This window comes from Homo sapiens, chromosome 13 (genome assembly GCF_000001405.40).
Source record: "Homo sapiens chromosome 13, GRCh38.p14 Primary Assembly".
In the NCBI taxonomy this organism is placed as follows: Eukaryota; Metazoa; Chordata; class Mammalia; order Primates; family Hominidae; genus Homo; species Homo sapiens.
The window spans coordinates 57,302,471-57,316,757 of NC_000013.11; the positions used below are offsets into that span (position 1 = coordinate 57,302,471).

At 34.3% G+C, this 14,287-nt stretch overlaps 1 pseudogene; it reads left to right on the top strand.

Moving 5' to 3' along the window:
- SLC25A5P4 (solute carrier family 25 member 5 pseudogene 4) lies at positions 12,196–13,947 on the top strand (annotated as a pseudogene).

The window sequence follows — 14,287 nt, forward strand, 5'->3', positions numbered from 1 at the left end:
AAAAGAAAAGCATTATTCTAAAGAATTTTGTAATTTCACCTGCTGCTATTTCTGACCTTGACAACATTAACATTTCTTCCCAAATTGTGTATTGAATTCAGATTTATTTAAAAGGTTACATACAAAATTTTACGTAACAAATTTCAAATATCACTAACAATTCTTGAGAGGGTTAAAAATTCTGTTTGCCTCTTGGACTAAAGACGCTGATGGGCTAGTTTATTACTGAAGCATTAACTCAGTCATACTTCATTCTTCACCTGCCATATTTGCTTTCATAGATTGGTCAGAAAGAAAAAAAAATGTACTTGAAATGTCTAAGACTGTGTGACTCATGCAGCACACAGGACAATGTTTATGACAGAATTAAACAGCCAAACCTTGAGCTGAGGCAGAGTCAGTGGCAGTCATGAAATCCACATTGCACTACAAAAAAAATTTAGGTAATGAACATTTTATTGAATGTCATCCAAACTCCACATGTTCTTAATCTCTGCTTAGTATTTTTTAAAGAAAAGGTAGTTTTAATAAAACACCAGATCAAATTCAACAGACATTTATTTAGTGCCTACGTACTAGGTACTGCACTAGTCAATAGAAGAGACTGCCACAGTCTCTGTCCACAAAGAGTTTTAATACAAGAATGGAATAGTCATGTAAAACACTGTCAGCCTGGATGATGAAGATAAATACTTGTTTCGAGGAGTCGCTTAACCACAATTAGGAAGAGGGAAATAGAAGCAGAATTAAGGAACTTCTAAGAGCAGGTGAAGCTTCAAATGAGCAGAGCACTTGTAGAGTGAGCCAGGTAGACACAATCTCTCCAAGTTTAAGTGCATCCTCCCCACCACACGATATTGTCCTTAAGGAAAACAATCATCCCCACTCAGGTTTCTCTAGGGGGATTTTTTAGCTGGAGGAATACTCCTTGCACCCTCCCTTTCTAGGCTTTTCACTTGTATCTTCCCATGGTAGAAGTAATGAGTTATCTGACTCATGAGTTTGGAAGAACACTCCCCTTTGGAGCAAGTCGGCCTTACAAACAGATGGGTGCTGGCCTGCTTTCTCAACCTGTGGTGAGCTTATTGGTCATGCTCTGATGGAGTAGCCTGCAGTTTTCCTGTTTTCCTAATGACTGGGTAAACAAGTTGGCCCAATTCTAGGAGGGGTTCTCAAGTCCATTTGGCTGTGTATCTAAGCCATGTCCTTTACCCCTTTGATTATTTTTTATCGGCACGAAAGCTGACAGTTTGGTCTCCATCTGTCTGACTTCTGTGTTTAATTCTCAATTAATTCCAAGCAAGGACAGTAAAGAGGCCTGTTATTTAGAGATTCATTAAAACTTCAACTATCAGTTCCAGTATATTCTCTTAGGTGGTTGTTTAAATACATGGTTTAATTTTGCTGATTAGTTCAGAATCCTAAAACCTAGTTTAAATTCACCCCAGGACATGGTAGCATCACTTGTCCAGAGTCAGGGCCAAGAACTACACATGTAATAGTAGTTGTAAAGTCTTGATGAATACATCCTTATAGCTTGTTTTCTTTGATAGGTCAAAAAAGTAACAATACAAATCTCTCTTCGTTGAAAAATAACTGTGAGCACACAATATTGCTTATGTGTTCTTTGCATTACTGTCTCAGGCTGCTCAGGTTGCCCTAACAAACGCCATAGATGGATGATATCAACAACAAACATTTATTTTCTCATACTTTTCAATGCTGGAAGTCTGAGATCAGGATCCCAGCACAGTCAGTTTTCAGTGAGCTGCTTGTAGGCAGCTGCCATTTTGCTGTGTGCACACATGACCTGCATTGTGGACACAGGAAGAGAGAAGGAACAAGCTGTCTGGTATCTATTGTTATAAGGACACCAGTTCTATTATCAATATATTAGGACCCCACCATTCTGACCTCATTTAACCTTAATTACCTCCTTATAGGATATATAGACAAATACCATCCCCTTGGAGGTTAGGGCTTCAATATACACATTTTGGAAGGGGCACATCAGTATATAGCTGTTACTTTTGTAATGAAGGAGTGATGATGACTAATTCACCTTTTCTGAATGCTTTCCCTGTGCCAGTCTGTGTGCTGAGTTTAAATTTAATCCTTGATTATATTGTATTATTGTTTTAAGAAATTTAAGAAAATATTTAAAGAAAATATTTAAGAAAATAAAACGAATGCTATTACTTTCCCAAGGTCACTCAGTGAAAGAATTAGAATGCACATTCTTCAATTAAATGCTGATCTATTTATTGTTGACTTGCAGGCAGTGATGGTTCATATTACTTTTATACTTTTGTATGCTTGTTGCTAGAGATTTAAAGATGGGCTATGCCTATAGAAGTAGGAAGTAATGCAAACAAGCAATTGAAAATAGCATGTTGGTTAATTGTTTCAGTGGTATTAAATCCAAATGTTTCACATATATACTACTTTACTTAATTGTTTGTCCCTTTTTATAAACATAAATATTTTCTGTGATAAAGGCTAAAAAGAATCCAGGACTAGAATATTCTGACAAGAAGAAGAAGCAAATGTTTAGTGTAAACTATATAGATTCTAAACAGCAAATAGCAAGCATGTATGTAATATTTCCAGAGTGATATAGTTTTGGCCATTTGAGTAGAATATAATCTAAAAAAATGCACATAAGTTATGGAATTGAATTAAAATTATATATGCAGTATAAAAATTAGAATCTTGAAGAGATTTATTCACTTTTTCAAATTCTAGGTCACCATAACATATTAAAGCCATGTGCATGTCTGAAGAAATTAATAAATTAATTTGTTTGCACATTTACTTGTATATTTAATTTCCTGTGACTGATACTCCAGGCATCGTAAGAGTAAATAGATCCTACGAATTTCTGATTATGCCATGGGATTAGTTTATTTACTAAATATGTCTAATATGTTCTTGCTTTGAGGCTGTAACACTGATTTCACATAAAGACAACACTGAAATATTCCTTTTGTTTCCTATTAGCTTATTTTTATTTCCTCCTAATAGTGTTATATTTCACTAATTATTTTTGGATTCATTTATAATTCAATTTATCTTATTAGGTAAAATGAAATAATCTCTAGGGTTATTTTCATTAATATTTCAACAAACATCTGTCTTACTGATGGAGACCTTTGCATGACCCAGGAAAAACAATATGCTATCAACTAGAATTAATATCATTCCAATAGGTTGTATAGAGGCAACAGCAAGAAACTAAAGAATAGATAAAATTATTTCCAAGTTGGTACTGATAAGAGGTAAGAAAAAAATAAAACAGATGTTTTGCATTCTTTTTAGTGTTCTTCTCAATGTGAAGTAAATAGCCCCATAGAATATGCTATGCTGTTTTGACAATACTGATAGAAATTTTCTTTAAAAGTTGGCATCTGAGGAAGTAAGCTAGGAGATTTTATAATAAATTATTTTATTGTTTTCTTCTTGGAAAAACAGTATTACAGTGAAAATTGGTATACTCTTTCATTGTATCTCTTACCAGAATGCTTTCAAGAGTTGCTTTTGGTTTATCAGCAGCAGTGTGCTCTTGGCCCTACTCCCCTCTGTTTCCCCTTTAGCGGAGCACCAGTTTGGTTCATAGATCTTCAACCAGAACAAAAGCCTACATTAAAATGGCTTGGGTATAACTCAGACAGTAAAGCCAGAAAGTACTGTGAACTTTTAAAGCATTTTCACAACAAAATGCATATTTCAAATTGGAAATTTCTGTAAGATAAGATAAAGCTCACAGTGTTCTTTTATTGATGCACTATGCAATGCAATTTTTATACTCTCATATCTCCTGTAATAGAAAATATGACCTGAAGCTACACATAACACCAGTATTTGGAAGCATTACAGGCCTTAGTAAAGTGTATTATGCCTTGGTGATACATTCAGAAGAAATCCAAAAGCATATAAATCCAACTATTGCCCTTAAACTACACCTTTGGGTGAGATTTCAAGTTTTCAGAATCTGAATGCTTCATAGCAGGTTAGAAATTTAGAACCATTGGCTATTTCTCAAACGAATGCTTGACCTCTTCCCAGATGGGAATTAGAAGGGATAAGAGGATAGCATAAAGACGCAAAAGCTATTTTTATAATAGAGACATCATAGTAATATTAAATAATATATCATCTATACATATATAAACACACACACACATTCGTAAGGCACATATGTAAAAGCCTTTTATCAAGCTTTCTCCCTTTGTCCTGATTCACTTTTCTAAACATCACCCTTTACCACTTGATATATTGAATATGTATACATTTGTTTTCTATCTTATTTATCTATCAATAATGAAAAAGTGAATACAGAAGGAAACTACATACTACTTTCCCTTATTCCATGACTATGGCTCTCAAAATACAGGCTCAATATCAATTTATTTTATTTTAAAGCATTTGTGCACCTACTATATATGTAACACCTACTTCGTACTTGTGAGGCTATAATAAGAATAAGATGAGGAACTGTCAAACATATGGTTTTCTGAAATCGCTCTTCTGTGGCAGAGAATGAAATGTCTCTTGTCATTTCATCTGTTGTTAGTGGAGAAATAATTACCATTAGCACAGTGTTACATAATAAACGGAATTTTCTTCCTTTTTAAGGAAGATAAAAAATATCTTTAAACAACCAATTGGTTAGTTTTTTCAAGAACATAAATACATGTAAGTACATTTATATAAATTATAAGTAATGAAACATTTATATAAATTTTTAATTGATATACATTATAAGTAATGAAAAATTTATTATATACTAGAAATACATGCAAAGAATCAGAATTAGTGTGAAGATGTGATAACTATAGTATAATATGATATGATATAATATAATAAACACGTTAAGGTTTCAATCAATTCAATTTCTAGATTAGGAACACAAATCTAAAACCTTTATACATCAATGTTTAAGATATGGAAATTAAAAGTCTAAGTATAACTTAAAATGAGAAATATGTAAAATTAGAAAGGTGATTTTCTGTCTTGGATGAAACAGTACACTTACGACTAAAGGTAGAAACTAATTTTTTGAAGAAGAAGAAGATTAAGAAAATATGTTTTAAAAATTCTTCCATACAATGATTTATTTGTATATTAAAATTTTTTGAAAATATTTATATATAATGCTATTTATTATGTAGATATATTTGTGTATTTCTAAAAATATACTGCCAGCACATAGATGTATAGTGTTAACAGTTTGATTTATTTCTATGATTTATGCTATATTGAAATTTATGCTGCTATATGAGTTATAAATATTTAACTAATTTCTAGAGGTTTTTAAAACAATAAAAACATATTTAGTAATAATGCATTAATATAATGATACAGATTATTTGATTACAAAAAAACTTATTTAGTTAAAATAGATGCTGGATTTTTGCACAATTCAGGACTAAAACTCATCATTACAATATACTTCCCAGCTTTTTCCTTCACTTTTTCCTAACATATGATGCTTGTGTTTTGAAGTAAATATTTGAGTAGTGAAATATTTTAATAGTGTCTTTATATTTATTTTTAAAATAAGAAAAAATTACTTCAGAAACATTCTAAAAATCTTAATGATATTAATACAAATAGTTTTCAAAAATATGACTGAAGTTGTCTGGGCATGGTGGCTCATGCCTGTAATCCCAGCACTTTGGGAGGCCGAGGCAGGCCAATCACGAGATCAAGAGGATGTACACCATTATAGCCAACATGGTGAAACCCCGTCTCTACTAAAAATACGAAAATTAGCCAGGCATGGTGGCAGGCGCCTATAGTCACAGCTACTCGGGAGGCTGAGGCAGGAGAATGGCTCGAACCTGAGAGGCAGAGGTTAGAGTGAGCCGAGATCGCACCACTGCACTCCAGCCTGGCAACAGTGCAAGACTCTGTCTCAAAAAAATAAAATAAAATAAAATTGACTGAAGTTATTTTAATAGTGATAAAAATAAAAAAGTAACCTCCAAAATAGAAAAGTTCCAAGGATTGAATTTTAAACAAATAAATCATAAAACTACATGTCTTCTAAGACACGCTCATAATTGCCCCTTCAGCATCAATTATATTTTAAGCATGTCACTAAAAAATGTGGGTATAGTAATTAATTATTTATTAATTACCCAATATAAGAACCAGGAGATCACTATGTGCATGGTTAAGAATTGCAAAGCATGGTGCTGTGGATGACGAAGTTTTGCACCGAACAGGTGAAGACCTGTGAAAGGTTCCAAGTACAAAAGTCATTTGTGTGTGCTTTCTTAACTCTAAAACATGAGTTAAAAAAAAAAGAGAATGTGGGGGTTCAAAGAAAAGTCACACAAAGTTTGCCATGCATCAAATTAAAATAGTCAAGAAAATTTATTTACAGCAAACAGTGGAAGCTACAATTCAGTTTCTATATTTTCACAAGCAAATGGATCATTGAAGATTTCCAGTATTTCTAACATTTCATCTTCAAAGCCATGTTGATTGAGTTATTTTCTGCAAACATTTCAAATACATTAACCTATTGTTTCTCTGAGCTGAAGTACAGTCCTCAAGAAGCCCATTTTCAACCTAATTTCTCTTCCTCTTCCTCCTCTTTCCCCACTTCTTTCTCCTTTTTCTTCTTCTCTCTCCTTTTCTCTTTTTCTGTTCTCCTCACTCTCTGTCTCTCCCTCTCATTTAATCTCTCTATCCCCTAACCCCCAATCAGAGTTGTTTCCAAATCCCTTAGCTGTCTTTGTTGTTTAGCAATATCAAAAGTGTGGAGCATGGGACAAATCTAGATTCCCTTTGTGGACAGTGGAGGAAAGAAAAAAGAATAAGACAATTATTCAAAATATGATATCTACCAAAGGAAAATGAGAGTTTTCAAAGCCTTATAAATATAATTAGCTCAGTGTTCTAAAAGTAAAAATATACAGGAAAAGTACAGAAAAAAAGTAACAAGTATAAAAAAATTTTAAATTATTTTAAAAGTACAGGAAAAATGTACCCAAAAATATAGAAAAGAATTGACTGGGAAAGTGTGTAACTATGCTTACAAACTACTTCAAGTAGAGAGATCATCATGAGTAATTATTTTCCTCTGTATTATTTTCTACTGTTTCAAAAGACTCAATGCACATAGATTTATTTTTTTAACTTAGAAAAATATTGGGTTATTGTGTAAATAAGTATTAACAAATATCTCCATTGTATTACTTTTTAAATGTCTTTCAGGGTTAAAAAATGGTCCTTACACTTTTCTTTAAAAATCATTTTTCTTACAAGAATATAGTTGTTCTCAATTGTGAGAAGTCAAAAATTAAACTACAAACTTAAATATAAGAATTTTTGTATTTGTATTACCAAACAATTCAGTGTTTTTTTAAGAAATCAATGAAAGGCAAATTAAAGTAGAAATGCAGCTTAGAAATTTAGAATACCGTTACACATTTTTTAAGGTAATTTACACACCCCTTCAAAATTAGTCTGTTTTCAAGAGGAAGGCATGTGTGTGGCCTGGCACCCATGTTTTAGGAACTCTATGGAGGGAAAATAGTGGTATTCAACAATAGCTCAAATAAAGTGACCTATGGAGTAGAAAAAAAGAAAGACTCAAGCAAATGTAAATAATTGTTCATTACATTTGCAAGGAAAGAATAAAGTATATTAATTAAGAGACAATGTACTCATTGTTATGATAACATATGATTCAAAATAAAAAGAAGCAAACTAAAAACTATATTAATACAGAAAAAATTATGCTTCCTCCCTTAGATATTAAGAAAAAATATTTAAAACAATTTTCTAAGTTATTTAGGTATTAGCTCTGTTGGTAAGTGACAGTTGCTTGATTGTTTAGTTGGAAATATTTTTAATGTGAAAGGAATACCCAAGATAAACATTCAGAATATAGAAAAAAATAAGAAAGAATCATGATAAACCACAGCACCCACAAATTATTACTCACACTTTGGTGAGTGACATGCAAATATACACCAGAGGTGGTGAACTAGAGAAATAACTGCTCTTTGGGCAAACACATCTCTCCATTTTCTTTTAAAAAGTTCTTCAATCAGAGATACAAATTTTATTTACATAGGCAGAGAAGTTTCCTTCCTAATATTCTCATATTGATATATTTATTTCTATAAATCAATTTTTTATATTACCTAATTGGTTATTGTGATAGTGACAGGAGGCAGAGAAATTCTAGGCAGACAGGGTCGGGTCTCTGGCAAAACCCCATCTTCAAGCCGAAAAGCCTGAAACCGATGGTCCAAAGTGAGAACTTCTATCCCTGTTTTCCTGCCCAAATATTGTATTTTCCTCAACTACACATGGCCTGCCCCATCCTTCATCCTGTGCCTATAAAGACCCCAGACTCAGTTGGAGAGAAGCAGAGAAGCAGCTGGACATTAGAAAGAAGCAACTTGACTTCAGAGGGATGACTTGATAGAGAAGTGTCTAGCCAGAGACTGCTAGACTTGGGAAGATTACCTGCCTGTCCCGTCGCCTTTTTAGCTCCCCTGCCCACGGAGAGCCACTTTCATAGTTCAATAAAATCCTCCATGTTCGCCATCCTTCAATTTGTTCGTGCAAACTCATTTTTCCTAGACGCAGGACAAGAGGTAGAGAGCCGTGAGTGCTGATACCCAAAAGAAGGCTTTCACATTGGCTCTTTGCCCTCCCACTGAGCTATTAACACTTAAGCCATCTGCGGAGGGCAGAGCAGAAAGATCATTGTAACGTGACTTCTGTGGCTTCAGGGGTCGCAGGAACCCCCACAAGGTCATTGCCGCGTGGCCCACACCGAGTTTGCACCTGCCAGCACCCAAAAATGGTCAGTCAGATCGCACACTCCCTCACTTATGTGCTCCCTCCAACAAGGGGTTGAGCTTGGCGAGCTGAGTAAATGGGGTTTATTCCTGCCAATTCCCCAAAGCACTCGCTCAGGTTACTGCACTCATTTGCTCGCAGGCTCCCTGCTGCAAGGGGTAGACAGGGGCAGGCTGAGTAAATGAGGTACCTCTGTCACGAGTACCAAGAAAAGGTAAAGAAAATATCCTGCATCAATTGTATGTTGAAGAAAATTATTTATTAACCTATTTATTGTTTATTAAGATTATTAAGATATTGTTTAATAATTGATTTAGTCTTATAAAATGTTTTATTTCATCAAATATTCAAATCTATTAAACTACATTGTAATGTGCAATATACTTGTTATTTTTACTTTCTGCTATGTGTGGTTTACGTTTTTATTTAAGCTTTAACATGTTTGTTTCATTTTGTTTTGTTTTGCTTTATTAAGCTAGTGATTTCTAAATTCGTATTTTTAAAGAGCATATATTGATAATCTAGAATTGTTTTACATGGTGTATTTATTTACTTGTGTTTTTTGTGGGAATGTCGACAAAGTGAAACCCTCTCTCTACTAAAAATACAAAAAATTAGCTGGGCGTGGTGGCGGGCGCCTGTAATCCCAGCTATTTGGTAGGTTGAGGCAGGAGAATTGCTTGAACCTGGGAGGCGGAGGTGGCAGTAAGCCGAGATCGTGCCACTGCACTCCAGCCTGAGCAACAGTGTGTGACTCCATCTCAAAAAAAAAAAAAAAAAACCTTCTTAGCATAGAATCGCAAAAGTGATGGTATATAGACACACACACACATATATATATATATACACACACACATACATATACACATATATGCATGTATATTTAAATGTTTTAAATATAGGACTGAGATGATAAGAAATTGAGAGAAATTACAAAGTAATTGCAATTTGTGCTATTGGGTAGCACTAATTCAGAGAAACAAATAAGCATTTGCCTTAGAGACAACTGCTTATTCCTGTGTTTTAGGGCACGCATTTCTAAGGACTACGTGGCAAATTACAGGAGACAAAGCTTGAACCTCAAAAAGTGTAAAGCCCTATGGATTTTCATCTTAAAAACCAAGACCCCTAACTTAATATCCCAAGTGATTAAAATACAGGCAAATGAGACTCTTCAGTCTGGTTACCTGCAGATAGAGCAGAAAATAGAAATTAAATGTTTCTTCTGAGAATTACTAATGATTGTGTGTGTAACAGGCCCAGTATTCATTCTGCATCTCTAGCACTGAAATCCATATGCCAATAATTTAGTTTGTCTTCAGGAACATAGCAGAAGTAAGCAAATCGAATCTAGAAGAATACCCTTTAGGCCAGGCCACAAAAATAAAATTGCAAGACATAGCACATAATAAAAAATCCCAAATTCATGAAGAAGTAAATCAGCATGAACAAGAATTGACAAAAAAAGAGAACTACAGAATCAAATCCATAAACACAGTCTATATTAGAATATTGGGGAAATTCTAAAATGAAGAACAAAAGGCCCTCCTAGAACTGAAATGTATAATAATTAATAGTTGCTCAATAGGAGGGTTAATGACAGTTATAGACAATGGAGAAAATGAATAATTGGAAAACACAATTCAGGAAAGCTTCCATACTACAGCATAGAGATACAATAATATAAAAATATAAAAGAGAGTATAAGAAGCATCAAGGATAGGGTGGTTACTTTTAAAACTGGGAATTACAAAATAAAAAGAATGGTAAGCAATATTAGGTGAGATTTTTCTGAAACTGAAATTTCTAGAACCAATTCTCAGATTCAAAGCCCAAAATATCTAAAGTAGAAGTAAATAAAAATAAATATATCTCTAGATACTATATTGAAACTGAGGTTCAACAAAGAAAAAAACTAAAAGATGATATATGAAGAAGACAGATTACCAATTGAGGAGAACAATAGAAGTCAATATAAGTTTGTTGAATTGTCAACAAAACAATGGAAACAGTTAGGATACATCCAAAGTTCAGATAAGTTGTATACTAATTAAAATTACCTTTCAAGAATAAGAAAAACTAAACTCATTTTGCAACAAACAAGAAGTGAAGTCATACATTACATGCAAAACCTTAGTTATAGCATTTCTCAAAGAATAATGCCAGAGAGAATCTACAGAAATGTATGAATAAATTTAAAACATTGTCCTTAAAAAATAATGACAAAAACAATATTTAGTAAGTAGGACAAAAAAGAGAAATATAGCTAAAATGCTGCACAATAATAGCAAATATATGAAGAGAAAGCTTTTGAAGCAGTCCCATAAACTCTAGTAGTAATTTAAGAATAGGGTGATTATTGATTAATTTTAGACTTTGATAAATTTAATAGTCATCTTAAAATCTCCAAAGGACTAAAACGACAGAAATTCAGGATATAATCTCCAAAAGAATAGAGAGAAAAAAATAAAATGAAGAAAACAATATATCTCAATCAGGATGAAATAAGGCAAGAAAGGCAAGAAAAAGAAGCAAAATATCAAGACTTATAGAAAGCAGAAATAATATTGTAGAAATAACCCAATTTTATGACTAGTTACAATAAATAAAAAGGAGCAAATAAAACCAACAAAATAAAGTCTGCAAGATTAGCTATAAGAAATACAGTTATTTACATGAGATTCATATAAAGCTCACACATACAAGGAAGGATTAGAAGTAAAATTTTAGATAAATACAAACAAAAAAACTGAAGTGGTCATATTAATATTAGGAAAATAGATACTTAACATGAAAAATTATTACCAGGTATAAGTACGTAACTTCAAGTGGAAAAAAAGAGAAATATCATGATTTTAAACTTGTGTACATGTAAAAACACAGTTTTGATGTGTTTTTTTTTTTTTTTTTTTTTTTTACTAAAAGGAAAATAAAAGAAGCTGGTAGAACCATAAGAAAAGATTTCCAAATAAAACAGAAAATTTTAACTGAATTCTTTCAAAATTTTTAATATCAGAGAAAAGTAGAAAACATTCAAAAGTCTTGAACAGAAAAATTCACAAGCTTGATCTTATCAATATATTTAGAATAGCATGAAGCAACTTCAGAATACACATACTTTTCAAATACCAAAGAATCCTTAAATAAAATTGGTCATATGTTAGGCAATCAAACATGTCACAACAAATATCAAAAAGGCAGGCTTTTAAGGACCATATTTTATTACCACAACTTAAAAGGGAAAAAGATAATATATTAATACTACAAATGTTAATATTTCAGGAGACTTGCAGTCCCATAATTTTTTCTGGAAACTCTTAGATGTGTCCTATAAATAGCAAGCTTACGCTCTGAAATAACATGAGGCCCCCCAGCCCTGAAATTAAAGAGTTCCTGGCCCAATCCCATCTCGCAGCAGCCTGCCTCCCCTTTCCTTTCAACATGACAGATGATGCTGTGTCCTTCAACAGGGACTTCTGGCAGGTGGGGTGGTCACAGCCATCTCTAAGGCAGCAGGAGCACCTATCGAGTGGCTCAAGCTGCTGCTGCAGGTGCAGCATGCCACCAAGGAAATTACCACAGATAAGCAGTACAAGCACATTATAGACTGTGTGGTCTGTATTCCCAAGGAGGAGAGAGTCCTGTCCTTCTGGCGTGGTAACCTGGCCAATGTCATCAGATATTTCCCCACCCAGGGGCTCTCAACTTCGCCTTCGAAATAAGTACTAGCAGATCTTCCTGGGTAGTGTGGACAAGAGGACCCACTTTCAGCACTATGTTGCAAGGAACCTGGCATCAGGCGTGCGCTGGGGCCACATCCTTGTGTTTTGTGTACCCTCTTGATTTTGTCTGTACCAATCTACCAGTGGATGTGGGTAAAGCTGGAGCTAAAAGGGAATTCAGAAGCCTTGGTGACTGTCTGGTTAAGATCTACAAATCTAATAGGATTAAGGGCCTGCACCAAGGCTTTACCATGTCTGTGCAGGGTATTAGCATCTACCCAGCTGCCTACTTCAGTATCTGTGACACTGCAAAGGGAATGCTTCCAGATTCCAAGAGTACTACATCATCATCAGCTGAATGATTACACACAGCCTGTCATTGTCATTGCAGGGTTGAATTCCTATCCATTTGACACTGTTCACTGCTAAATGTCGATGCAGTCAGGCTTTTTTTTTTTTTTTTTTTTTTTTTTTTAGATGGAGTCTAAAAACAAAAAACAAAAAAAAGGCATTTTTTTTTGTTTGTTTGTTTGTTTGTTTGTTTTTTTAGATGGAGTCTCTGTCGCCCAGGCTGGAGTGCAGTGGCACGATCTCAGCTTACTGCAACTTCCACCTCCCAGCTTCAGGCGATTCTCTTGCCTCAGCCTCCTGAGTAGCTGGGATTACAGGCGTGAGCCACCAAGGCCAGCTAATTTTGTATTTTCAGTAGAGACAGGGTTTCACCATATTGGCCAGGCTGGTCTTGAGTACACAGGCATTTTTGACTGCTGAAGGAACATTGCTCGTGATGAAGGAGGCAAAGATTTTTCAAGGGTTCATGGTCCATTGTTTTCAGTGGCATGAGTGGTGCTTTTGTGCTTGTCTTGTATCATGAAATCAAGAAGTACACATACGTTGTTTCCTATAATTTTCCCCCGTGAACAGTCATGTTGTAGTATATAATATATCAAGAGGATTCTTGATAGACTCATGGCTGTCAATTTATCAGTGGCAACTATTTACTGGTTGAAAATAGGAAGCAATAATATTCATCTAACTAGTTTTCTCTTCTTTGTTGTTTGTTTGTCACCCAGGCTGGAGTGCAGTGGTGAGATCGCAGCTTACTGTAACCTCCACCTCCTGGGTTCAAGCAATTCTCCTGTCTCAGCCTCCTGTGTAGCTAGGACTGCAGGTGGCTGCCACCACGCTGAGCTAATTTTTTTTGTATTTTTAGTAGAGACAGGGTTTCTACATGTTGGCCAGGCTGGTCTTGAACTCCAGACCTCAAGTGATCTGCCCATCTCAGCCTTCTAAAGTGATGGGATTACAGGCATGAGCCACTGTGCCCAGCTACTAGTTTTCTCTTAAAGCCATTTTCATGATATGATGATGGGACTCAATTATATTTTTTATTTCATGGGTGGGAAGAATCAATATCATGAAAATGGCCATACTGCCCAAAGTAATTTATAGATTCAATGCTATTCCCATTAAACTACCAATGACATTCTTCACAGAATTAGAAAAAAAAAACTACTTTAAAATTCATATGGAACCAAAAAAGAGCCTGAATAGCCAGGACAATCCTAAGCAAAAGGAACCACACTGGAGAAGTCATGCTCCCTGACTTCAATCTGTACTACAAGGCTACAGTAACCAAAACAGCATGATACTGGTATGAAAACAGACGCATAGCCCAATGGAAGAGAATAGTGAACTCAGAAATAAGTCTGTACCTACAATCATCTGTTCTTTGA